The sequence below is a fragment of the Homo sapiens genome, chromosome 6, assembly GCF_000001405.40.
Source record: "Homo sapiens chromosome 6, GRCh38.p14 Primary Assembly".
Taxonomy (NCBI): domain Eukaryota; kingdom Metazoa; phylum Chordata; class Mammalia; order Primates; family Hominidae; genus Homo; species Homo sapiens.
Genome location: NC_000006.12, coordinates 112,879,570 through 112,907,568, shown reverse-complemented (window position 1 = coordinate 112,907,568; position 27,999 = coordinate 112,879,570). Strand labels below are relative to the sequence as shown.

General features: G+C 36.4%; 1 long non-coding RNA gene across 2 annotated transcripts, besides 1 other annotated feature; it reads right to left on the bottom strand.

The window, feature by feature from the left end:
- Positions 1-113: 113 nt before the first annotated feature.
- LOC105377950 (uncharacterized) lies at positions 114-27,452 on the bottom strand. Of its 2 annotated transcripts, none has more exons than XR_942885.3 (4): positions 26,731-27,452; positions 24,458-24,528; positions 7,101-7,224; positions 114-5,052 (listed from the first exon to the last, which is right to left on the bottom strand). It is a non-coding gene; the product is annotated as an uncharacterized LOC105377950 (long non-coding RNA). The 2 variants fall into 2 exon arrangements; XR_001744305.2 differs by having other exon boundaries at positions 4,748-5,052; positions 7,082-7,224.
- Positions 26,902-27,430: an enhancer, noted in NCBI's record as "H3K4me1 hESC enhancer chr6:113201341-113201869 (GRCh37/hg19 assembly coordinates)". NCBI's record gives its function as "activates a minimal SCP1, AML or CMV promoter by ChIP-STARR-seq in naive H9 embryonic stem cells {active_cell/tissue: H9 hESC(naive)}" and the evidence as "EXISTENCE:reporter gene assay evidence [ECO:0000049][PMID:30033119]".

Sequence of the window (27,999 nt, the reverse complement as noted above, 5' to 3'; positions counted from 1 at the left end):
TATGTATACATACATTGTATACATATATCAAATCATCAATTTGTACAACTTGAATATATGCAATTTTTAATTGTCATTCATACTTCAGTAAACTTGAAAAAAACATTTACTTGTTGTTTCTGGTAGCATTTTTTATTTTCTTCTAAGAATAATGCAAAAAAGTACCATGAAGAACAATAAGAGGTAAATAAAATCTCAAACCAAAGAATTATGTATATATTCATAAATTGAAACCTTATCAGAATTAAACATCCATTGACCATGTTGGTCTCTAATACTAATGTGAATCCCATCCAATCACATTTAGAAGATGTATCTAAGATCAAGTGGATCTTTTTAAAAATTTCACATAAAAGATGACTTAAATCAAATACTGATTAATACACAAAGAAAGGAAGAGACATGGGCAAATTTAAGGGCAAAAAAGAAATTTAGGGGGGTGGTGGTGGTTTATTATGACCAGAGATAAACCCATCTATTTACAGCTTTCAGGGAAAGAAAATATTTTTTTTCTGACCACAGCTGAAGAGAGATCCTGACAGAGCTTTCCTGCTCCCCATCTCCCATGTCATCAGCGTATTCTGGGAGAGGAATCTAAGGTGGTTTTCCAGCTAAGTAGTTACAGCTGTTTCCACAGTTTCAGTCAGATGGAGTTTCTGTGCATATTGACTTTGGCTGAAATCTTTCCCTGGAGCCCAGCAGCATAAGAGCATTTGCTCTGAGGCCTGGGACTCTGGACAAACATTCCAGAGTTTCTGAGTTCTTAACATTAACATTTGATGAATTCTTCTCTTAATTTCTTCTGGAGAAAAGTGAAAGATACTGGATGACCCCCTTTGCCCTGTGACAACCATAATATTTCCCCCACACAGAATTCTTATCCTTCTTTATATGTAGCGAAAAACCTGAAAAAATAATAATGTGCACAAACCACGCCAATTCATGAAACTATGCATTCTTTTAAATACGTTTCAACACATCTTGACAGTTTTCTGAAATACCAGACTCCTTTGAAGTTTTTTTTTTAAATGAAAGAGAAAAATAGGCTTTAAAACAAACCCTGAAACAATTGTGTCAAGGGCTCTGAGAAAATCTGAAATGTAGCTACAGAGTTAATTAAGGAGGTCAGCTGTCATAATCATACTGAGGTAGAATAGCACTTTTTAATGTTATTTTGTGAACCTTTCAAATATAGTAAATCTAATGCCTACTTTCAGTTACTTTCTATTGTGGGTCCTCATATTAATCATGAGAGGCAAAATTAAAGATTGATTCTTCAACATATGAGAAATTGAACAAAAAAAATTATAAAGACATCTTTAGGAAAAGGTTAATGTTTGTTAACTGGCTGGCATCAAATAGGTCCAAACACATAATGGATGAAACTTGCCTTCATTTGGTATAGTAATAGAGGCATATAGGTTTTGGTTTCTATTGCAGGATTTCAGTCATAAATAAGAGAGAACATTCTGACAAAGGTTATGGAATGATAACTTGGATAACAAACAGAACCTTAGAATCATTTGCCTAGCAAGTTCTAAAAGTGTGCTTTTAAAAATTATTTTAAAGAGTCAGCCAGGATAGTCAAGGTAGGTATTAAAATCATAATAAATAGCATTTCCAAGTTTCATCAAGTTCACTACTATAATTAGGTAAGGGTATATTAAAACATAAGATGGCTACCTGCATGGTAAATTTATTTTATATGCACACACATGCACAGATTGACAAATTTTATATATCAGTACAGTACCTTATATGCTTTTATGTCTGAATTCTTTAGAAAAGAAACTTTGTTAGGTCATAGCCTTTGTTTTTTATACTGATTTGTTAAAGCACATAGCAAATAACAGAATCTGTAACTATTTTATTTGCAACATTATTCTAAGGGTAAACAAATAAACTACACATTGTTAATATGACTGCTGTTGTTTATACCCCATCTATTTAAGGATAACTAACAGCTTATAAAGTTAACCAATCTTAACTTGGACAGCATAATGTGATGTCTAAAAGTGTGGTCTCAGGAGATAGGTTACCTGGGTTCAAGTCGCACCTCCTCCCTTTACTAGCTGCTTGACACTAGGCCAATTATTTATCCTCTATACCTCAGTTTCCTCATTTGTAAAGTGAGAATAAAAATTAGATCTAATTCCTAAACTTATAAGTATTCAATAAGTATTGTACTCATAAGTATTAAATTTGTATTTAATTTAAGATGCTTATATATAAAGCACCAGGTATATAATTCACTCTCAATAAAATAATAATAATTGTTGTCTTTCTATCACCATGCAACTCACCCCCTAATTAAGAAATCTCTTTTTTAACATCAATGTCTGTGATCAACTAATGTAATATTAAGTATTAAAAGTGACTTAACACTTTCTGGAAGACCCCAGGGCAGTGTTGGATAGCCTTAATGGTTAAAAGTATTATTTTTTGATTTAGGCAACATCTATTAGATTGGCGCAAAAGTAATTGCAGTTTTGCCATTAACAGCAACTACTTTTGCACCAATTTAATACTTTCCGAAATTTTCTAGCTATCCAGATCAATTCAGATCATTTCTACTTTCCTCACTGAAATGATCAAATACTTAAAGTCTTCTTTAATTCCATCTCAACCCCCATTCATACCTACTTTCATCCAGACCAAACACTTTGTGCACTCAGGTATTTCTCTTATTATATGATTTTTAACAGTCTCTCCCCATTTTAGTATCAAGGTTTGAAAACTCTTAATTTTTTCATCCCTGAGCCTAGCAGGTATATTTCTTTTCTCTGACTTCAACAGTTACTTACGTTGACACTGTTAACCTTTTGGCTATATTACTTGGGGTCAAATAAAACTCAGTGTTACCTTTCTTATAATTTCATTTTTATAAATCAGCCTCCCATAATTTTTTTCATTGTATTGATTTTGTTTAAGTGCATCGTCTCTAAGACTTCTGTTTTTAAAAGTGACAGAGTAGCTTGTATCAAACCAACTCACTGACCAAGAAAACCTGTAAAAGCTGGATAGAAAACAACAAAAATGACAACACAACATCCATGGTTGTTGCAAACATTAGCCATCAAAAAAGACAGCCCAACTTGAGAGGTCAGTAACACTAGGAGAAGAAAAATGTATTGAGGTGGGTGGGCACATTTTTCATCGCTTCTTTCTCTCCAGAACAGTAACAACCTGGAGCTTTAAGCAGTCCCACACGGTTATGGAAACAAAAATTCCAATTAAGAGCTATCAAAGCAGGCAAATCCTGGAGAACAAAGGAGCCACAGAGAAGTGAGTCTCGTATTTGGTATGCCTTTTCTTCCCAATTTCTTCACCCAATTTTTTAGGCTATGAAATGGGCCTAAACCAAAGCTTTAAAGAATTGAGAAGGGAATAAACCAAATGAAAAATGACTACTGAGAGGCCCAAAAGCCAAGCAGAGATTTTGGCATTTTACGGGACTGGGGAGGGAAAAAAAAAAGTGTCGTTTGACTTGGCCAAAGAAGAGGAGCCTTCCTTTGTAAATACCTTAGACCTTCAGTTAAGACCCCTAAAAGTCTATGATAGGGTGGGAGCAGACTGGAAATAAATCAATCTACATAGACCTTACAACACAGTGAACAATTATCTCACTTCTTAAACTGATTCAAGATAATCTCTAACATCAGAGCCTGTATAATTTTTTAAACAAAATATCTGTAATGCACTTGAATGGACATCTAGGATGAAATATATATAGATTGAAATAAGGAAAACCCAGAGAAAAATAGGCAACAGACAGGCTGTAGGCAAGAATGACATTAGAGTTAGATATATGGATTTTTAAATAACTAATAAGTAAAAAAAAAGATGTATAATTTAACCCCAAATTGAATATATACATATATATAAATCAAATGAAAATTTTAAAACTGAAAAAAAAATCTGTATCTGAAACTATAAAATCAATAGATAGACTAACAGCATGCTAGACACAGAAAAAGAAAGGATTAGTAAACTGGAAGATAGGTTACTAGGAAACATCGAGACCAACGGATGAAGACAAGAAAGAATGAAAAATAAATGTAAGCCAAAAACATGTGAAATACAGTTAGAGTGAAAAGATAAATACAAATACATTAATAGAAGCAAAAGAAGAGAATGCAGAAAATATAGGAAAGGAATATTTGAAGATAATCTGCATAAGAATTTTCTCAAATTTCAAGCTGCAGATTCAAGAAACTCTGTGACCCTCAAGCATTAACTGCCATGTCTAAGCACATCATGTTCACACTGATAAAAACCAAAGGTAAAGAGAAATTTCTTAAAATCAGCTCCATTCCCCAAATGAATTCCATATCACCATAAACGGACCAATAACAATATTGACAGTTGACTTTTCAAAAGAAGTGACAGAGCTAGAAAACAAGAGAATGATATTTTTCCAGTATTAAAAGAAAATTACAGCCAACCAATAATTTTGTACCCATTGAAAAACATCAAACGTGAAGATAAGTGAAAGAATTCATCAGCAGAAGACACATGCTGAAGGAAACACTAAAAGGAGACTTCAGATTAAAGGAAATAATCTCTACTGAGACCACAGAAAAACAGAGAATTATAAAAATTCATGGGAAATGTAAATACGTGGGGAAAACTCAATGAGTATTTATGCTGCACAACAATAATAATATCTTTTGAGGTTTAAAATGTACATATAACTCAAATGCATGATACAAGCACAAAAGGCTGGAGAAGGTAAAAGGGACTAAAGTGTTTTGAGTTTTTTTTAATTGTCTTGGAAAGGTAAAAATAACAATTTGTTGTTGACTCTAGTGCCTGGGAAAAGTGAGTCTAGGCACTTCTCTCAGTCTTTTCTCTTGAGGTCGGTTGGTGTGTCGGGAGGTCACAGTTTTATCCATGGCATTGTTGGGAATAGAGAGGTTATTGTCTAAGAGTTCTTCGCCTTGATAGGTTGCCCATTTTCTGGTCCTTAGCTAGAGAAAGCAGCCATTTGTTGGGGCTTTTTGGTTTATTTCCCCTGATGTTTCTGGGTTGCCAGCTTCTTCAGCTCCATGTCTGGGATATATGTGGCAAAAAAAAAAGAGAAAGAAGCCCAGAAACCTCATCATCATATGTCATTCCTTGGGTCCTAGAGTCCCTAGCCACCTAGCCAGTCTGACTTTTCTCCATCTGTTAAAGCCTCTCTCTCTCTCTATATATATATATGAATCCTTCTTATATATATGATAAGCCTTCTTATATATATTTTATGTGTGTGTATATATAGAGAGAGAGATAGAGAGACGGTTACACACTCACACACACACATGCACACACAATGTCCCAAGTTTTTAGTCATATTTAGTTGGAGGAATGGGGAAAAGCATATCTACTCGATTTTTTTGGAAGCAAGATTTCCTCTTAGTATAGCTTTCATTCTTAAAGAATATTTTTGCTGTAATAGAATTCAGGGTTGGCAGTTGTTCCCTTCAGCACTTCAAACATTTTCCATAGTGTTCTGGATTTATAATTTTTTAATGAAAATGTAGCCATCATTTTAATATTTTTCACTGTATGTAACGGTTATTTTTTCTCTGGCTGCTTTTAAAATTTGATTTTTACCAATGGCTTTTAACAGTTTTACTTTGACATGCTGAGGTGTAGCTTTATTTTATTTATCCTGCTTGGAATTTTCTGAGCTTCTTGAGTCTCTAGATTTAATAATTTACAATTTTGAAAATTGTTGACTATTTTACTCTAAAATATCTTTGTATTATTCTCCCTCTTTTCTCTTTCTTAGATTTCAATAAGACATATGTTAGACCATGTATAATTATCTCACATGTCCCTGAAACTGTTAGCTTCCATTGCTTTATCTCATTTACATAAATAATTTCTACAGTATATCTTCATGGTTATTAATTTTTCCTCTTTTGCTAGGAAGCTCATCCAGTGAATATTTTATTTTATACATTGTATTTGCAGTTCTAAAATTTTTATATGTTGAATTTTTATTTTGATGTTTCCTACATTTTCATTCATTATAGACATATTTGACTTTATGCCCTTATGTATATTTATAATAGCTGTTTATAAATCCTTGTTTGCTAATTTCAATGTGTCATTTCAAGATTGGTCTTTTATACTTATCTTTTTTCATGAGAATTCGTCACATTTTTTTCTGATTCTTCATATGTTTAGAAATTGTGAATGCTATGTTGTGGAGCCTATGGATTGTTTTATTCCTTGAAAGAGTAATGCTTTTTTTCTTAAAGCAGGCAATTAACTTGATTGAACTCAAACTTCAAATTCTGTCTCCCGGTGGTAGTTCAAATTTAAATTCAATTATTTTACTCCCTTATCTAGGTTGTTTGTGTCTTAATTGCATGTGTGTTTCAGAGTTAAGTCAAATATTTGGGGCAGATTTTTACACACAGTTAGGATCTTTTCCTATCTCTGATTCACCTTTACAGAGTTTTCCCCTTGATTTCAATTGGTTACAATTGCCCTTAATTTTGACCTGTGATTCTGTGAGCCAGAGAAACTGCAGATGTCTCTGTCGAATTTTAACTGCCACTCATGGAGCTAACTTTATTCTGATCTGAATGTAAAAATCATAAAAATGAGTAATTCATCTATGCCATAAATTCTTTCAAGTGTTCACTCTGCTCCAAGATACCTCTAATTCTATGCACTGTTCCACTTATTCTATAGTTGTTTCCTTCGATTTAGTACTGAGTTTATGCTAATTATCTGCAGGATGGTAGGATTCAATAGAATCTTACTTTATCATGACAGATGTAGAACTTCATTAATTAAATTAGAGTGAATATATATCAATACTGATTGTTTTGTTAAGAAAATCTTACTGTATGTTACCGACCTACAGACACATAGACCAATGGAACAGAATAGAGAGCCCAGAAATAAACCCAAGTATCTATGGTCACTTCAACAAGGCCATTAAGAAAACACAATGGCTCATGCCAGTCATCCCAGTGCTTTGGGAGGCCTAGGTGGGAGGATCTCCTGGGACTAGGAGTTCCAGACCCGCTTGGAAAACATAGTGTAACCGCCATCTCTACAAAAATTTTGAAAAATTCACCTGGCATGGTGGTGCGCACCTGTAGTCCTGGCTACTCGGGAGGCTGAAGGGAGGATCTCTTGAGTTCAGGAGTTCAAGGCTTCAGTGAGTTGTGATCACATCATTGCCTTCCAGCCTGTGCCACTGGGTGACAGAGTGAGAACCTGTCATGAAAGGAATAGAAAGGGAAGGGAAAGGGGAAGGGGAAGGGGAAGGGGAAGGGAAAAACTCAATGGAGAAAAGATGGTCTATTTGATAAATGGTATTGGAAAAACTAGATATCCACATGTAAAAGAATAAAAGTGGACCCTTATCTTACACCACACACAAAAATGAACTCTTAATAAAGACATAAACATAAAACCTGAAGCTGTAAAATTCCTAGAGGAAAGCCTAGGGAAAAGCTCCTTGATATTTTCCTTGGCAATGATATTTTTTATATGACCCCAAAAGCACAGGCAACAAAAACAAAACAAGTGTAACTACATCAAAGTAAAAAATCTACAAAATGAAACGGCAGCCAGTGGAGTGGGATGAAATATTTACAAACCATCTATCAACCAATGGAGTGGTACATAAGAAATTCACCTGACTCAATAGCAAAAAAAAAACAAGTTTTAAAAATGGGCAAATGGCCTGAATAGACATTTCTTCAATGAGGATATACAAATGGCCAACAAATATAGGAAAATGTGCTCAACATGACTAATCATCAGGAAGACGCAAATCAAAACCACGACGAGATAACAACCTCACACCTGTTAGGATAGCTATTATCAAAGAGATAAGAGATAACAAGAGTTGGCAAGGATGTGGAAAAAAAGGAATCCTAGTTACACTCTTGATAGGAATGTAAATTAGTACAGCCATTGTGTAAAACTGTATGGAGCATCCTAAAGAAATTAAAAATAGATCTACCATATGATCCAGCAATCACTCTTCCTGGTATATATCCAAGTGAAATGAAGTCACCACTTCATGAAGATACGAACTCCCATATTCATTGCAGCATTATTCATTACAGCCAAGAAGTTGTGACATATGTATGCAAACACATACATACACATACAATAGAGTATTATCCAGCCTTAAATGAAGAAGGAGATTCTGCTGTTTATAACATAGCTGCACCTAGGGAGCATTATACTAAGTAAAATAACTCAAAGGAAGAAAATCACTGCATGATCTCACTTATGTGTCAAATCTAAGTTTTTTTAATGAATATATAAAAATAGAGTATAAAGGTGGTTACCAGTGTTGGGGGCTGGGGAAATGGAGAGATATACATCAAAGGGTACAAAGACACAGTTGTCTCAAATGAATAAGTCTAGAGATCTAACGTAGAGCATCAGGACTATAGTTAATAATATTGTATCACATACCATAAATTTGTTAATGGGGGTAGATTTTAGTTACTCATACCACAGAAAAAAGAAGAAAAAGCAACTGTGAGATAACGGATATGTAAATTTATTTGACGGTAGTAATCATGTTGTATGCCTTAAATATATACAATAAAAACAAAAACACAGAGACCATCTTACTGTGATATCTAATAAATAAAATAAATACATATTTGCTTGTTTTTTTCTCCTAATCTCAATCTGCCGGATCTTTCTTTCCTCTTCTCTTTTTCTCAAGGTGATATCTGAAGAGGTCCCAGGGATAATGTTTTGAAAAGTACTATATAAAATTATTTCTAAGTTATCTCTAAATTATCTCAATTAAATTTTATATAGAAGAGATATTATTGAACCAAAGTATATTTTAATAATAAAATAACTTTTAATGTTTATTAATAACATTTTGTTTATTAAAAAATTAATTGAGATACTTCAGAGATAACTTAGAAATAATTTTACGTAGTACTTTTCAAAACATTATCCCTGGGACCTCTTCAGATAACATCTTGAGAAAAAGAGAAGAGAAAAAAAAACTGGCAGATTGAGATTAGGAGAAAACGACCAAATATTTATTTATTTTATTCAATAAATGTAAGTATTTAACAATAAAAATACATAAATTTCACAAACTTGAAGAAAATATTTGCAAACAAAAATAACTAATGATATAAAATAGTTCACAAGGTCTTCCAAATCAATAAGGAAAAAAAAAAGGAAAACAGGATATTAAGAGACAATTCAGAGATACGAAAACTAAAAGGATAATAACAACTGCATGGCTAAAAAATTCTTAAATTTGTTAGTAAACAAATAAAAATTAAAACAAGTTGTCACTCTATCAAATTGAGCAAAACATAAAAAGCTTGATAATACTAAGTGTTGGTGAAAATGTGTAGCAACACACAGGAATTTTCATGTGTTACTGGTGAAGAAAAAATTGTCATGACCTCATCGAAGAAATTTGGTAAAAATTAGTGATGAGAAGATAAGCCTAAGCTATGAACAAGAATATCACTTCTATGTATATACCCTAGAGAAATCCTCAACCACAAGGATATCTTAACAGGAATTTTATAGCAGCCATAGTTTTTAAAAACAAAACTTTGGAAAGAATAAAAATATTTATTAACAGGATGTTATGGGCTGAATTTTGTACCCCCAAAATTCATGTCAAACTCCTGACTCCCAGTATTTCAGAATGTGACTATGTTTGGAGACAGTCTTTAAAGAAGTATTTAAGTAAAAAGTAGGTAATTACAGTGGGCCTAATTCAGTATGACTAGAGTTCTTACAAGAGGGAGAAATTTGAACACAGAGGTGTACCAAGGGAAGACCATGTGAAGACACAGTGAGATGATGGCTACAATGAACTGAATATTTGTGTTTCCCCAAAATTCATTTGTTGAAATCCTAACCCCCAATATGATGGTGTTATGAGGTAGGGCCTTTGAGAGCTGATTAGGTCACCAAGGTGAGGCCCTCGTTAATGGAATTAATGTCCTTACAAAAGGAAGCTAGAGAGGTCCCTCCTATTTCCACCACGTAAGAATATGAGAAGACGTCTGTCTGTAGCCTGGAAAATCACCCTCACAAGAACTCAAACATGTTAGCACCCTGATATTGGACTTCTAGCCCCCAGAACAGTGAGAAATAAATATCTGTTGTTTATAAACCAACAAGCCTGTGGTACTTTGTTATAGCAGCCTGAACTAAGACAAATGTCATCTACACGCCAAGAAAAGATGCCTCAGAAGAAACCTGCTGGCACCTTAACATCAGACTTCCAGCTTCTAGAACTGTAAAAAATAAATGTTCATTGTTTAAGTCATACAGTCTATGTCACTTTGTTATGGTAGCCTTAGCAAGCTAATACTGAGGGTTAACAATGCATCTTCGTGTATTCATTTATTACTATAAAACAATTAAAATTAATAAATTAGAGCTAAAGCTGTCTTAAATGCATATATAATTTTGAGGGAAATAAGCTGGAAAATGACACATATATAAAATGATTTATAAAAGTATTAAACACACAAAACTCTATAGTTTCTATATACGTATGTATGCAGTTTAAAAATAAAAACATTTATGAGAAGATGGAGGAAAGAAATGAAATTGTGGTGGTAAATATTGAGAGACTCTACTGTACGTGGGAGAGAGAGGAAACAAGTCAGCTGAAGCCAACATGCAAAATATAACATCTCCTTAACCTAGATAGTGAGCACATGGGTGTTTTATAAATTAAATTCTATACATGTAAGTTTAAATATATAACGGTATAAAAAGTAGAGGTGGAACATCATTATCATATATTGACTCATTTTATATAATCCCATTGTTAATTACTCTCAAGACTTACGGCAGCAATTTTCATTTAAAATTATTTCTTGAGGTATCTTTTACAATAGGATTTACATGACTAGAAGTGAATTGTGTTTCTACATTACTTATAATGTCATAGAACAAAGATAGCTATAAGCACCCATCAAATGGCTGCTACTATTTCTAAGATGGTACAATTTTAGAGATGACTTAAATTCCAAGTAAGGAATAATAAATTTAAATGACAGAAAATGTATACCAAAAATTCTACTTTTTAAATCTCAATTTTCTAAGCAGTGTTGGTTTGCATGTGATTTGCATTACACAGGTTAAGCATTCCTAATCCAAAAATAAAAATCTGAAATGGAAATTTTTCCACACCTGACCTTAGGTAGCGGGTCACAGTCAAAACATAGTCACACAACATACAGTTTATTCAGTGTCCCCAAAAGCAAAAAGACCCTCCCAGCCACCTTCAGCTGCAATATATTTCTTCTGTTCAAGTCCGAATCTCCCCATGCAATCATGCCTACAAAAAATAATAAAATTGCATGTGTGGAGGCTGGATGTACCAATGATTAACTCCCCAGGATGCCCTTCAAGGGGCTAAGACTTACGTGTTTTAGTGTGTTTTGTTTTGTTTTTATAGACAGGATCTCACTTTGTTGCCCAGGTTGAAGTGCAGTGGCCTGATCATAGCTCACTGCAACCTCAAATATTTGGGCTCAAGCAATCCTCCAGCCTCAGTAGCTGGGACTACAGGTATGCACCACCACACTCAACTAATTTTTAAAATTTTTTTTTTAGAGATGAGTACTCACTATGTTTCTCAGCCCGCTCTTGAACTGACCTCAAGAGATCCTTCCACTTCAGCCTCCTGATTAGCTGAGATTACAGTTAGCCACTGTGCCTGACTAACTCATCATTTTTTTTGTTTATTCTCTGTTCTCTGATGTAAAGATATGTTTCAAATGTCAGGAAGCCCTATAATAGTGATTTTAAAAAATAAAATAAAAGAGGCAGCATACATAGCAAAGAAAGTCAGACCGCTGGGGAAAATGAACAATGGTGTAAGTGTAAAACATCTTAGAGCAGATGACGGTGTTGGGATGACCTCCATATATGACCTAAAGAAATAGAAGGATAAACCATTGAGGTTCTATGGTAAAAGCAGTGAACAGAGGTAAGGAAAAATAGAAAAACACTGCATAAAGCTAAAAATGAAGGTCTTAATCATGTATTGAAAGTGTGGAACTGCTGGTGTTGCAGTAAACACATGCTACTTGATGGTATGCTGATCATGAAACAAACAAAGATATATCACAATGAACTTTAAATGGAAGGGAACTGTGAATATTCAACGGGCTGACTGTAGAAATTTAAGAAAAGACACAGCATTAAATTTTTAAAGATTCACAGTGACAATACATCTACTGACATGAAGTAGTGGAGAAATTCATTGAAGACTTTGCCAAGATCATTGCTGATGAAAATCTGATGCCAGAACAAGATTATAATGCTGATAAGACATCATTGTTTTGGTGTTATTGTCCATGAAAGACGGACTACAGCCGATGTGTCAGCCCCCACAGGAATTAAGAATGCCAGGGAATAACTGTGTTGAGATGTGCTAATGCTGCAGGCACACATAATTATAAACTTACTGTGATAGGCTAAATCTTGCATTACAGCTATTTTCAAGGAGTGACTTTCTTACCAGTTCATTGTTACACTAACAAAAAGGTATGGATTACCAGGGACATCTTTTCTGATCGGTTTCACAAATATTTTGTATCAGTGGTTTGCACTCATTGCAGCAAAGCTGGACTGGATGATGACTGCAAGATATTGTTATTGCTTGACAACTGTTCCACTCATACTACAGCTGAAATTCTCATTAAAAATAATGTTAATGCATGTAATTTTCCCCAAATGTGACTTTATTAATTCAACCATATGAAAAAAGTATCCTTAGATCCATGAAGAGTAAACACATAAACACTTCCTTGAATAGCATGCTAGCAGCAGTGAACAGAGGTGTGGGTGTCAAAGGTTTTCAAAAGAAGTGTAGCATGAAGGATGCTATATATGCTATTGCCAGTTCTTGGAACACAGTCACTAAAGATACAGTTGTGCATGCCTGGCATAACATCTGGCCTGCGACTATGTTCAGTGATGGTTAGGAACAAAGCAATGACTTTGAAAGATTTTGTATGTCAAATGAGAAAAAAATTATGTTTGACCCCATTATATATGCAAAATATACCTTCAGAATCCATCAAGAATCCTGCAAGAAGCGGATATCAAAGAAGTTTTAAATACTAATGATGAGACAGTTGTTCATTCATTGATGGTGAAATTGCCTAGATGGTTCTGAAGCAAGGTGATCATGAAAAAGTGACAATGAAGGTGGCCTTTTTAAAACTGCAGAAAAAGTGCCTATTGACAATACGGTTAAAATGTGTGATGGGCTTCCTGAAGGGCTAAAGCAGCATGCATTCATAAATGAATAAGGAATCATGTCAGCTTATCAAATCAAAGAGAGACTTCTAAGACAATAAGTCATTGTTAATGAGGCAGATGATCCTGAAGGAAACATTTTAAAAATCCATCCAGCAGAATGCCTCCTCATCCCCAGAAAACTCACTTTCTGATCCCTCAGCCCCTCAACTGCTTCTAATGTTTTCTCTCAAAAAAAAAACAAACAAAAAAAACTTTGTATGGTAACCTTTTAATCAAAACAGCATAGTAGATGGAGGCTGAAAGCCTGCTGTTGTTGGTTGTTACTGCTGTTTAACAGCTGATACAGGTATTCTGGTGATGCTACTGGATTGCTTAGTTACCCTGAAAACATTTTTTCATTGTGTTAATAACATCACATTTTTTATTGTTAAGTACTTATATGTGAATAAGGATGAGAAAATGATTATCAGTGGCATACAAATTCAGTGTCAGGAAAGATGTGATGCCAAACAACCACAGATTGTCAACATGGGTGGCTGAGATGGTGACACCAGTACCCTCTGATGGTTCAAGGTACACATACTTTGTTTCATGCACTAAATTATTAAAAATACTATAGAAAATTACCTTTGGGCTACGTGTATAAGGTGTATATGAAGCATAAATGAATGTTGTGTTTAGACTTGGGTTCCATCCCCAAGATAGCTTATATATAGGCAAATATTCCAAAATCTGAAAAAATTCAAAATCCAAAACATTTCTGGCATTTGGGATGTGACATCCTCAACCTGGATTAATATTTTTCCTCTTACTTCTTAAGTAATCGCTACTTTCTTTTAGCTGCTTTAAATATTTCATTTACAAAAGGTGGTAAAACCATTGTTAATTTTCTTACATTGCTGTCATCCTACCAAGCAGCTTGGTGAAAAAACTCAATGACTAATGTGGAAGAAAAAAAGAGAAAATTTTTCTTCCATAACTAGATACAGATTAGACACAGATTAGAAATACTATTATTAGTAATTATAATATAATCAACTTGATAAATTGAGTGTTTTTAAAAAGTTACAATTAAAAATAAAACAAAAATTTCTCCAAGTCATTCTTAGCATTAGAGATGTGTATTTTAAGATGTATTTTCTGATGGGTTCAGCACAGATCATGTAACATTTAAAAGACTCACAGGGTAACTTCTGTATTGCACAGCTATAGGGCCATGAGAGAATATTTTTATTCCCTAGGCAAAGTCAGTCTATTAGAAACTTTTAAACCTGATGTTTAGGATGAATCACATGCTGGAATTGGAAAGAACTCTTAAAGATAATTTAATTTAACCACCTTACTATAGTGATGAGGAAACTGAGGCTCCCCAGAGTCAAGGGTCTTGATCAAAGTAGTAGAGGAAGTTGGGGGCAGAGCCAGGAGTTAAACTCATCTATAATCTATACTTTGACCTTTAAAAAAATAAAAAGCCTACTTCATTTAATAGATGCTGACATTAAATGCTCAGTTCTTTTTTACTTTAAAAGTCCTTCTGGGAATGCTTAGTGCGATTTCTGTGAAACTTACTTCTGGGTTCTGAATGCAAGCTAAGTGTAATTCTAACCAGCTGACTTTGTGTATGAAATCACTGGCACTTTCCAGTGTAGGTTCCTTTGAAGGTGAGCAGATTTTCTGCCAACTGCCAAATTGGCTGGGCAAGCATGGGCACTGAAAACTACCCCACGGATTTTGGAAACCTGTCCAAATCTGTGTCCCTTCCTTCCTAAGCGTCACTAGCACATCTGAAGTTTGAAGAATGCAGTTAAGGATGGTGAAGGGCAAACATCCCTTCTAAGGTGATCACTATTTCCACCTTCTTGTTCTCATTCCTTTCTTTCTCCACTCTTAAATAATATTAAGAGCTGCCAGTTTACTGCTTTGATGATAAAAACGAGTCACACAAATAGATTTCTAAAACAGTCTAAAAACATTTTCTGAATGCCTACCATATTCAGGCAGTATGCTAAATATATCCAAAAGCATACAAATATACCATGAATCCAGGAGAATCTAGACAGCCCAGGTCTTCCTCCAGATTATTTTGACTCAGAATCCATTGTTGGTGGCATTGACAGTCAGTACCTTTTCTCATTCCCAATAATCTGTCATACTTAAAGATGGTAATCCAGTGTACATAAATGTATTTGCAAATTTATGTAAATACACCCAGATCATATTGACAAATGGAGATCCCTGCCTATCCTTTACATAGAGTCTTTCTTGGAATCTAACGGATACCCCCGACGAATCTACTGCCACCATTAGCATCACTACTACACCTGCAGGCCTTCAAAGATGCACCTCAGCTCCACGCAGAGTAAAAGAGGCTGGCTCACAGGAAAGAGAAATCAATGGAGGAGGCAGGAGAGTGAGGAAGGGAAAACACCTACCATTTCTATATGATAAGCAGAGGAAGCAAGGAGGTAAATTTTTTAAATGACTTATTTTTTTATCAGAAACAAAAAATAATTTCTTACTTTTTTTTTTGATACAGGGTCTCACTGTGGTGCAGGAGGGAGTGCAGTGGTGTGATCATAGCTCACTGCAGCCTTGACCTCCTGGCCCCAAGCGATCCTCCTACCTCAGCCTCCTGAGTAGCTGGGAGCACAAGTGAGCCCGACCATGCCTGACTAAATTTTTTTTTTTTTTTTTTGGTAGAGAAGAGGTCTCACTATGTTGCCCAACCTGGTCTCAAACTCCTAGGCTCAAGTGATCCTCCTGCCTCCACCCCTCAAAGTGCTAGGATTACAGGCATGAGCCACCCTGCTGAGCCCCAAATTTTTCACTTTTCTTGAGAGCATCAGTTAAGCAACTTATAAAGTTTTACCTATCTGTATTAAAAGATATAATATCAGTACAAGCAATTATGTCTGTTGTGTCTCTATTTTAAACAAAATGGGCTATGAGAGTTACTCATACAGAGCAAGGAGAGGATTTCTACCTAAAATTAATTAAATCATAAAAAGAAAGAGCTTAGAACTAACTACTACCATTTGTATACTCAGCAAATATTTTAGGCCTATTGGCGAAGCTATTTGTAAAATAGAATTTGATGAAACATGAATTATATCTATCTTAAATTTAGAATCTAAAATATTACTAAGAATGATTAAGCTGTCTAATGTATATTCTGTTTAATAAAAATTAAATAGAAAAAAATACATATATTAGAAAACCATTTTATTTCCATATGGACCTGAGACTTAATTAACAGAACATCAAAATAGTACTGAGAAATACTTTACCAAGTGCTCTGATCTCAAGTCGATATAGTAATTACCTTTAAAAAATTAAGTACAGTATCAGAACAAGAGGGATTTTAAAGAGGTAAAAATATCTAAGAACTATTATAAGTTTAGAAATTGAATTGAGAATAATACTTGAGATACAATATGGTGGTTCCTCTATGCAAAATTAAGCAATGTTTGTTACTCATAAAAGGTTATTTCCTGTTTGTCTGCTTGTTTTTTTTCTCCAAAGCCTATAGAATAGGATCTGGCTTTATAATGGATTTAATAGAGAAACAACACATAGTTCCAGGCCTTGAGACTTCCAAAGTTGGGTGTTGGTTTGCTCATTCTAATTATTTTAGTACTGCAGTAGGTCAAAATGGAAGTATGTTGAGTAGGCTCTGGGGAGTTAGAGTGGAGCGGGCAGAGGACAATCTTCTTGCTGAAGGACATAGCACTTAAAATCAATATATGCCTTAGAAGGGCTAAATCTAGGCATTCACCTGTGACAATGATCTCTCTTAATCAGATAAAAAGATACCTTCCTTCCAGAAAAATCAGAACCTAAAGTTATTAATCACACTGAGGTGCAGAGGCGGTAATGAGAAAGGAGTGATGGCAGTGCCATATGTAGTTACTTTGCCACTGGCTAGCTGTGTGACCATGGAAAAGTTCCTGTCCTTGTCTAAGTCACAGTCTCCTGTCTGTAATATGATGATTATAAGAGCACTAATTTTGGAATAGTCATGAGGATCAAAGGACAAGGCGAAGAAAACATGTAGCACAGTGCTAGGAGAAGCAGCAGACTCTTTATAAAGGGTAATTATAATATTTTATGAGTCCCAAGTCAAGGTAGAGGTTACAGAGAATAGAATTACTCTGCTCTAGAAAATAGGAAGAATTTGGCTTTCTATTCCCGAAAAAGAAGAGGCAAAGAAATGCCAAATGAGAAAAAGTGTGTGTGTGTGTGTTTGTGTGTGTGTATGTGTGAGAGCGAGCGAGCGAGAGAGAAGCTGCTCAATACAAAAAATAAAAACATTGACAAATTTAAAAATAGACAAATGCAAATAATGACATGTGCTCTGAGGAAAATATAAAATGCTAGAAAGAGCTGGAGGGTGGAGACTATCATGGATAGCCAGGGAAGTTGTGAAAAATCCTCATGGCAAGATGAAACTAATAATTTAAAGATATGGGGGAAGAGCGGTTCAAGCAAAGGGAAGAGAGCTTGTATAAAATGTGCTCAGCATTTCAAAGCAAAAAGAAATCTGTAATCCTGGAAACCAGAGAATGAAGACTGGTAATAGCTGAGACCAGAGTCAGATCACAGTAAGGCTTTAGATTTTATTTTGTTAAGATACAGAGAAAAATCATTGAACCTTTTAGTAGAGCTTGATGTAATCTACATTATAAAGCAAATATTTTAGCAGCTCTTGGCATGTAGTCTTAAAAGCAACAGTAGAACAGGTCCATTTTAATGGTTTCAGGAATCCATGAAACAGCTCACGGTTGTTTGGTATAGGATTGAGATGTAGAAATGATGAAAGATTGTCAGTTCAGATTCAGAATAGATGTTAAATGTGGGGCTGACAGGATACGAAGAAGAGGAAAAGTGAGAAGTCAACCATGACTGCCAGATTTTTTATCTAAGAAACAGAATAAATAAGAGTTGGGGAGTATTTAGAAATAAACAGGTTGAGGAAGAATGGATTAATGTAGGCAAACTGGTAAATAATTGTTTTTAGACATATTACATTTGAGAGGCTAATTCATCATCTAAGCAGAGATGTTGACTGGTAAACTGGATTAAGAAGACTGGAGCTCAGGGGAGAGGTTCAATTTGAAAATACAAATTTGGGAGTTTTCAACCTATATTCAATTTAATGCCATGGGAACTGATCTGATTCCTCAGGAAGAGAGTAAGTGAATGGTATACTAAGAGTTGGTCTGAGGTGCCAGCATATTCAGATCTCTGGAAGAGGAGAAGGGGTCAGCAGAATAGACTTGAGAATGTGTGGGGTTCTGGAACCCAAAGACAGAAGCCAAGTTTAAAGTCAAGCTGGGAAGAATGAGGGAGGGTCTCTCTGTGTCAAGTGATGTTAAAAGAGGAAGTTGTGATGAGGACAGAAATTGAATGTTGGTTTTTCCAAGATGGAGTTGATGATCATTATATGAATGAATTCAGTGGTGCAAGGACTATGACAGCCTGTGTGGAGTGGATTAAGGGGAAAGTGGGTGGTGAAGATGTGTAGACAGGGATTTTAATAGCCTTGTTTATTTAAACAAAAATGTATGCAGTTCCTCCAAACATAAAATGAATAAAAATAAGTTGCTTTTAGTGGCAATATGTGGGTGGTGGCAGAGAAAAAGCCTCTCTCTTTTTTCATCACACTTGCAGTCATCCTGAGACACCTTCATGCAATAGTTTGTCTCCAGGAATATACTTTGGAAATTGCCAGTCTCTAAGACACTTTCCAAATCTTTATGGAAGAACAGTGATTCCATGGTTCTGTAATAATGCATGTTCTTTTAATGATGCTGAGGCTTAATGGCAACACACCAGACACTGTCCCTATCCTTGGATTTTTCACAAGTTTAGTGAAATCAGATTAAGAAATAATAATGTGGCTTTTGTTTCATGGTGAATAAGGCTGGAAATAGCAACCAAAGCATTTAAATGACTGAAGAAAACTAACTCAATCAAGAAACTTTTCCCCAAAATGATATAAATATTTGATATGGATTTTTGACCATAGGTTCTCAGGCACATTCAGATCTCTATAGACAAGTCAGATGACTCTGGACAGTCAGGCAAACAACTCTATAGATACAGTGTGTATCTGTCTCCACCCAAATCTCATGTTGAAATGTAATCCCCAGTGATGGAGGTGGGGCCTGGTGGTAAGTGTTTGGCTCATGGGGGCAGATCCCTCACATTGGCTTGGGCCATCCCCTTGGTGATAAGTGAGCTCTTGCTCTGAATTCGCTTATTTAAATAAGATCTGGTTATTTAAAAGTGTGTGGGCTGGGCGTGGTGGCTCACGCCTGTAATCCCAGCATTTTGGGAGGCCAGGGAGGGTGGATCATAAGGTCAGGAGTTCAAGACCAGCCTGGCCAAGATGGTGAAACTTGGTCTCTACTAAAAACACAAAAAATTAGCTGGGCATGGTGGCGGGTGCCTGTGATCCCAGTGACTCAGAAAGCTGAGGCAGAGAATTGCTTGAATCCAGGAGGTGGAGGTTGCAGTGGGCCGAGATCGCACCACTGCACTCCAGCCTGGGCAACAGAACAAGACTCCGTCTCAAAAAAAAAAAAAAAAAAAGTGTGTGGCACCTCCCCCACAACTCTCTCTCTCTTGCTCCTGTTCTCACCATGCAATGTGCCTGCTCCCCCTCTGCCTTCCACCACAATTGGATGTTTCCTGAGGCTTCCCCAGGAGCAAATGCCACTGTGCTTCCTGTGCAGCCTGCAGAACCGTAAGCCAATTAAACCTCTTTTCTTATAAATTACCCAGTCCCAGGAACTTCCTTATAGGAGTGCAAGAATAGCCTAACACTATTAGAATTAAAGATAATCAAGAAGAGCCTATCTTTAATTATTTTCAGTATCAGAACCCATTCTGGACAAAGCTGCTTTTTAATGGCTCCTTTTGAACTATTCCCAGATGTGCTCCTTACACCATGGCTAACATAATGATACCTATTAAATAGCAAAAATATTCTTCTATACATGGGTTTAACTCATCCAAAAAAACTGCGAATCCTTTAGTAATTTCTCCTGTATATTTTTTCCATATCTAGTTTTAAATGACTAAGACCCACTGCAATTAGTCTCACCTTTCATTCAATCTTGACATACAGGAAGGTAAGAGTATATTTATTGAAGTGAGATGATGTGGCAGTGCACCACACAATTCAGGGTCTGCAATGACAGATATCCTGGGCTTTAAGAACCTCACATAATTCTTTCATAGTGTTAGACAGTGGTTGATGGCACTATGCAACGGGTTCCCAAACAAGGCTAATGATCATAAGAGATAATTATAGAGGGTAGTTGTGGAACTTCTTTTTCTTTCACTTCTTTTCATTTTCCCAGCACTGGTTGTCTGACGTAAAGATTTCTTCTTTTCTAAATTATAGGTATAGATAGACCTATAATTTAGAAAAGGGGGCCTAAAATTAAATCTTTTGTTATCATCGTAACTGTTAAAAATATGTTTATCTGCCTCTTTGTCTGTCTCTGAAAGACAGAGACAGAGACGGAGACAGAAAGCAAATATGTGCATCTAAAGAAGAAAAATGAAAAGTTTGGGCTAATTGGACTGATAATATTCCTTTAAGGGAAAGCAGTGGCCTATGTTTTGGAAAACTCTTTGACTTGTTATTTGCCTGTGAAAGATTAGGGCCTCCTGACCTCAGTCTAGAGGGATACCATTTTGTAAACATAATTAGTTAAATGGCAAAACAGAAAAAAGTAGCAGTACTTTTGGCATTGTTCCTGTCAATTAGAGAAGCTGAATAGACTAGGAAGAGAAAATAGCACAGTCTATTTGACTCTAGAATCAAGGGGTTCCTTGTTAGAACTATATTTAAATATAATTGGCTTCCTTTGGAATTCTGTGTATTATTCGTTCAAAACTTTATTCTGAGAAAACATTCATGAGCTTCATCAGGCCATCAAAGACACTTAAAAATTTTTTTAGACATACTACTCTAAGGAAAGATGTTTCTAAATGGCAGTGCTGAAAACTGGAGCAGTAGAGAAACCCAACAGGAAAGAGATTGCACAGTAAATTTCTAGGCATCACAGAGCAGTTATATTTGAAATAGTTTATTTTCTGAGCTCTAATTACCTTCCATCACTACCAAATCTCTGATTAAAAAGCTTAAAAATTATGAAAATCCCAATATTGATGCTCTTCAGTGGAGAGAAAGAAAGGGTGGTGGTTCTTTTTATTATTATATTTTCAGTTCTAGGGTACATGTGCACAACATGCAGCTTTGATACATAGGTATACATGTGTCATGTTGGTTTGCTGCACCCATCAACTCGTCATTTACATGAGGTATTTCTCCTAATGTTATCCCTCCCCCAGCCCCCCGCCCCCAGACCGGCCCCCGTGTGTGATGATCCCCGCCCTGTGTCCATGTGTTCTCATTGTTCAACTCCCACTTATGAGTGAGAACATGGGGTGTTTGGTTTTCTGTCCTTGTGATAGTTTGTTTAGAATGGTGGTGGTTCTAAGGCAACTGGCAGCAAACACGGAGAAGCCTGAGGGATCCCACAGAGACGTTGGGGAAGAGGGCAGCGCTGAATGATTTAGGCACAATCGTGTGGCAAATATCTTTATCCAAAATGTGCTAGAGGAAGAGCACCCGCAGGAATGGTAAGGAGGAAAGAAACTACATCTTGCTGTTGTGGGGCAACATGATTGCAAGAGAAAGACAACTCCAAAAAGACAGAGAACTTGGGGATGACCAGGAAAGAGAGAGTTTACCAACCAAACTTCCTGTTACCTACTTATGTAAAAGAGACCATATAACATATTGTAACTTGCTTTCTCATATTGGAGGACTTCTCATTTTTAATAAATATGTTTCTATATCATCCTCAATCCTAATGACTGTTGCCTCAATATGTGAATATACTCTAATTTTCCTTATCCTATAACTTATTTTTACGCATGTAGGCTGCTTCCTTTCTTTTAATGTTTATAAATGATAAGTGTCCAATGCCTCGTGTATTTGTTGAATAAATACACTGAATGCTACAATTAAGATTCTTTAAATTAAATTTTGGACATTTGTTCAATTATCTTATAATAAGTTATTAGAGGTGAAATGTTTAGTCAAACAGTTTGTATACTTCTTAATTGCAGCAATTACAAGTGAAAACCCCTTTATCAATTTGTTCTAAGTTTCCATTTGCATATGGCAATTGAGGCGAGTAGACTACTTTAATTAGGAGATAATGAAACATTCATAACAGCTCAGTAAATCTGCCTGTTGGAGTTTTGCTTAAAAATTTCATCTGGGCTATGTGTTTAAAGTAAAATATCAGCTGTCATTCTTATTTTATACAGTTATGAATATGGGCATGAAGTAGATTCATTTTTGTTCATATTTTTGTATGTGGAATATAGGCATAATAACTCCTACATTGAACAGATTAAAAGCTAAATTCATCTGCATAGAAGTGTTAATAGATCTTGCTTCAATGTGGACAAGCTATTCTGGACCTACTGACCAACTGCCATGTTAAGGGGTCCTTTCACTGAAACTTTGAGTTTGTCCTACTTTTTCTTATATCCCATATTTTGCCTGGATTATGTCCTTAGTAACAGCTTCAGGAACAATGAATATCAAGTAAAGTTCCTGAGTGCCTGTGTATCTGAAAACATTTTTATCTGGCCCTTTAACTTAATCGTCATTTAGCCTGATACATAACTGAGAGTTCAAAATAACTTTCTCTTAATACTTTAAGATGTTGCTTTATTATCTTCTACTGTTAAGACACTGTTAATGAGAAGTCCAGTTCCACTCTGATAGCTCTTCCTGTGCAGATAATCTATTTTTTCCCAGCTAGAAACTTTAAAAATATTCTCCTTATATTTAGTGAATTTCATGAAAATCCATCCAGCTAGGAATCTATCCTCATTAATCCTATTGATACTTAGCAGCACGAATCTGAAGATTTTCTTAAGTTTTGCTAACTATTCACCCATTCCTTTTTGGTTGGATGTTTTATTCCCTTTATTTATTTTATTCTGAATTTCCTATTTGTTGAATATTCTGCCTCTTAGGTTGATCCTTGATGTCTCTTGTTTTGTTTTTTTTTTTTAATTATTTCCCCTCTTTTAAACTATTTGTCTGAGCTGGCTCCTCAGTTTTATTTTCCTGCCCTTTGAATGTTTCATACCAACTGCCACAATTTCTATTCTAAAAACTCTTGGACTGATGGATTTACACAGAGCTTCATTTATAGTTGTATGACTAAAATATCTTCTCACTTATTTCTATGACTATTAATTAGATTTTTTTTTAAAATTCTGAATTATGTCTCTAATAGACAACCACTGAACATCACTTGAACTCTATGTGTGTGGCTCAACTACAGCAAGTCAGCAAGCTGCCTTTCTTCCTGAGAGAATGAATGAAGAGGGCTTTTGGGTTGGAGCACTAGTATCAGTAACATCAACAATTGAAATCCACCCACTCTAAAGAGCAGCTTTCCAATTGGATGTACCTAAGATGACACGGTTGTTAAATCAAAGCCATAATTATATCACAGTGATCCCGATTCTAAGACTGGTGCTCTTGCCCTTATACTTTTGGCTGAGTGACTTAACAGACATGATCATGGCCAATTAAATTTTTTATCATAAAATTTTAAGTATTTCACATAAGGCATCGGCCCTTTATAGGTTACCATAGTATGATATGTAATATAACTTATATAAAATTATATCATTTTTGAGGGTATGAGTCATTTACGATAATACATTTATACACATTTATAGAAGTTTTCATGTGTGCAAATAGTTTATTTAAGACATCTTAGTTTGAGTAAGCTCTACTGTGCCAAGAAGGCTGAGTTTTCCTTGAAATGTCAATGCTTTAAAGTCTAAGGAAAATATTCCACAGCTCCATGGCAGCTGTTTTCAGGGAAAATTATAGTTAGTAGTTTATGGTTGCCGTAGCATCCCCGTTAATACCATAGCAATGAGGTTTAAATTCTGTCAGAAACAAAAAGTCACTGTATTTGTATGGGCATTTCTACTTTGAAAGTTAAGGCTGAGTCAGAGTTTTCAGCTAGCAAGACTCAGATTTCCTACCTTTCAAAAGTACTCTCCAGTGGGGTGAGGGGTGTATCACCTGACCTGCCCACAGGGGCACCTAAGATAAATGTGCCAGGCAACAGGGGAGTCGGGGGGATACCTGTCATATGGAATCCTTGGCAAGTTTCACGCAGGGCCTTCCTGAGTAGCCAAAGGGCTTTAGGGAGAAATCTGAAAAAATGAATTTCTAGTGTAAGTATCACAAAAAAGAACTAAATTAATACACATTATCTTTGCAGCAGTTGACTTTCTCAGTACAGGCAATTACAGAGAAGGCTTACCCCATACTTTAGCCACACTGCTGTTTCTTCATGAGGACATCTGAGCTTCCCCTAAGAACAACCAAATGTCCACTTCCTCAGAGAAAGAAGTTCATAGTGCCACTGGGAAATTTAGCCTCTAAAGATTTATCAAACATATTCTGTGGAGGCTGTCAATTCTTGCCATCAGTTAGCAAAGCAGAAAAGCCAACAGCAATAGGGATTTAGAGTGCCATAGAATTCTAACTTGTCTTGAGGTCACTAAAGTTTTAGCCTCACTTCTTTTTAGTTAGCTGTTAGTTTCTTTGGTAGATTGTATTTTGAAGGAGTAGAGAATACATTTTAATAAACACAGGGTAGTAGACTGGATGATACATTTATGTGGAATGCCTCAGTGGAGTAAGAAATATAAAATTAAGAGCTAGAATGCAGACATCTTTAGAAGAAAAGTGGATAAGAGAATAAAGGACAGGAAACATATTTTAAATGACTCAACAACTTAAGCACAGTCTGAAAAACATTCAATAAGTATATGGTTGTTCAGGGAGGATATTAAAAGATCGAAAGTGTTGATCTGTGATTGGGCAATATCAGCATAACTATATTGACCACCCTGGAGGTAGAAATGTTTTCTGATTGGCCATTGTGAATATGCTTTAACATGTGTGTGGATGACAGATGTGTTTAGATGAGTCTCATCAAGAGGGCAATGTTTTCACTAATGCACTGGATTTGTTCCAGCAACAATGGAGGCACACCCATGAATAAAAAGACAGAGGCTTGGGTAGTGATGTAACTTCAAAATAAAAGGAAAGGTTGGGTGATATCAGTTTCTGAAACTTCCAATTAGAAGGAATAAGTGCATCCTTCTGTGCTTTCTATAATGCCATGTGTTGTGATGTGCTGTTGCTCAGTTAAGTTCGATAATACTTTTCCAAGAGTGATGCAGTGACTAGCTTCAGGAGAATTTTAATTCAAATGCAATGGCCAATATTGTACAGTGTCTCAAGAGATCAAATTCCATTTGGCAGTCTGGCAGATGGATAAAAACATGTTGGTCTACTTTAAGACAAAGTCACATTTTACTAAGTGGCAAAGACTGTAAATATTAATAGCTTAATAATAATAACTAATAATATTTAGAAAGGCAATTTTAAATTGATTCACCAAAAGATATTTAGGGCTGAAGAACTTAATTCTGCATTTGTATACATACTTAACTCCATGATTTATGTATTGATAATCAAAAAATGTATTTAGCCAGGTCAGTTAGACAGCCAATATAATTTAAATTTTGCAGCCTTAGATCACTCTTAAAGTATATGTTTATTATTTTATTATTAAAATAATCCCTAATCCTATTTCTATGTTATCAATAAGGACATTCTATAGCAGAATTCTAAGCAAATTCTGATGGCAGAGATTTCTTTCTTTCTTCTTTTTTTTTTTTTGAGATGGAGCTTATACCTTACACAGAAAAACAGGAAACAAGTTCAAATTTAAGAAATAATATAATAATTTTTAAAAGTTCTGAGAACAACCTCTGCCTCTTGTTTAGCCTAAAGTATGTCAATTGGCAAGTGCTTTTTGGATTACCAATACAAGTGAAAAAATGCTATTCAGCAAGATGCCGCCTGTCAGTCACACCCTGGTCCTTGGCCACCCCTGTGCAGCCAGCTACAGGACCTTTATGGATCACTAGGGGCCTTCACTACACTTCTGGAGAAGCTTAAGTCCTCTCCATGGAAACACAGGAGCTGACTCAACCCCCTCGCTGTGCATTTTTTTCATCCTCCACCCTACTCCCCCAACTATTTTTTTGTTTCGCTTGTTCCATACTGAGTAATCTTTTTCTGTCTTTTGGTTACACTCTTTAAGTCCTGTTCAGAGAGTTAAGTGCAAATGCTAGGCTCCTAAAAAGCCTATTTTCTGAAGTGAGTAAAAATTATGGGCAAAAATGAACAATATGAAATAACCTTTTCAGTGGGAACCTTGAAAGACATGTTGATATTTTAAAGAGCAAAGTTTGCCTTATCAAGCCCTGAATGCCTAAAGGGAAAAAAAAAAATAAGAAAGAAACAAGCTCTATGTCCTTTCCAAACTTTCACCTTACCTTGACAAATAGACTCTTGCTGTTACCCTTTGTATGAGTTTTCTACGGCTGCCATAGCAAAATGCTACAGACTGGATGGTTTAAACAACAGAAGAATTTTCTCACAATTTTGGAGGCTGAGAGTCTGAGTTCAAGGGGTTGGCAGGTTTTGTTTCTTCTGAGGCCTCTCTCCTTGGCTCCCAGGTGGTCGCCTTTTTGCTGCGTCCTCACATGGTCATCCTCTTTGTCGACTGTGTCCTAATCTCCTCTTTTTATAAGGGCACAGTGGTATTGAGTTAGAACCCACCCTAAAACCACATTTTAACTTAAGTACCTCTTTTAAGGTTCTATTTCCAAATGCAGTTGATGGCAACAGCTGCTGCCATTACCCCGGCTGCAGCAGAGAGGAGGGCTGGGGCTGCACACTCTGTGGAGTCAGTGGGAGCCCCACTCCTTCTGATTTGGGGCAGAAACTTCCCGGGTGCCACTGCAGCCGCCCAAACCTCAAACCTCGGCAGCAGATCCAGGCCCCCTGCTTCACGTAACAGGCAGGAGCCCCACCCTCCTGCAATACGTAGCGGGGCTACATCAGCCAAAACTGCAGCTGTGGATCCGAGCCTTCCTGTGCTCTTGGAAGGGGCTGGGAACAGGCAGGATCTGCCCTCCCTGGTGCAGTTGCAGCCACCCAACCCGCTGCTGCTGACCTGGCCCTCTCGCTCCACGAGCAGGCAAGGGCCAGGAACAAGCAGGAGCCCCGCCCCTTCCGAGTTGATGGGGCTGGAGCTCCCTGGGTGCAGCTGCAGCGGCCAGACCCACGCATCTCTGCTGCCTGCCCCCTGGCGGCTGGGAAGGCCCGCATGTCTCTTCAGGCTCCGGGGTATCTGATCCCGCTGCCCGGTCTCTCTCCTCTCCTGGCACCCGCTGGGATCTCAAAGCTGGGTTGGGGCCCAGCCCTTGGGCCATGAATGGCTGCAGGAGGCAGAAAGATTCCTGTGCCGAAGGGGGTTGGTCCCTGGTAAGGCCCCTCCTTCAGGAGTTGCCCCCTGCGGGTCTCCTCTGAGCTGTTAGAACACTCAATAAAGCTTCTCTTCATCTTGCTCCCCTTCCGCTTGTTTCCATACCTCATTCTTCCTGGATGCAGGACAAGAACTCGGGCAAAGGCACCACCTGCCACAGACGTTTCCACCTGCCACAGAGATATTCCACCCTAAATATCCTGTAACACAGTCACATTCTAAAGTACTGGGGGCCAATACTTCAACATATGAATTTGGTGTGTGAGGAGGGGCA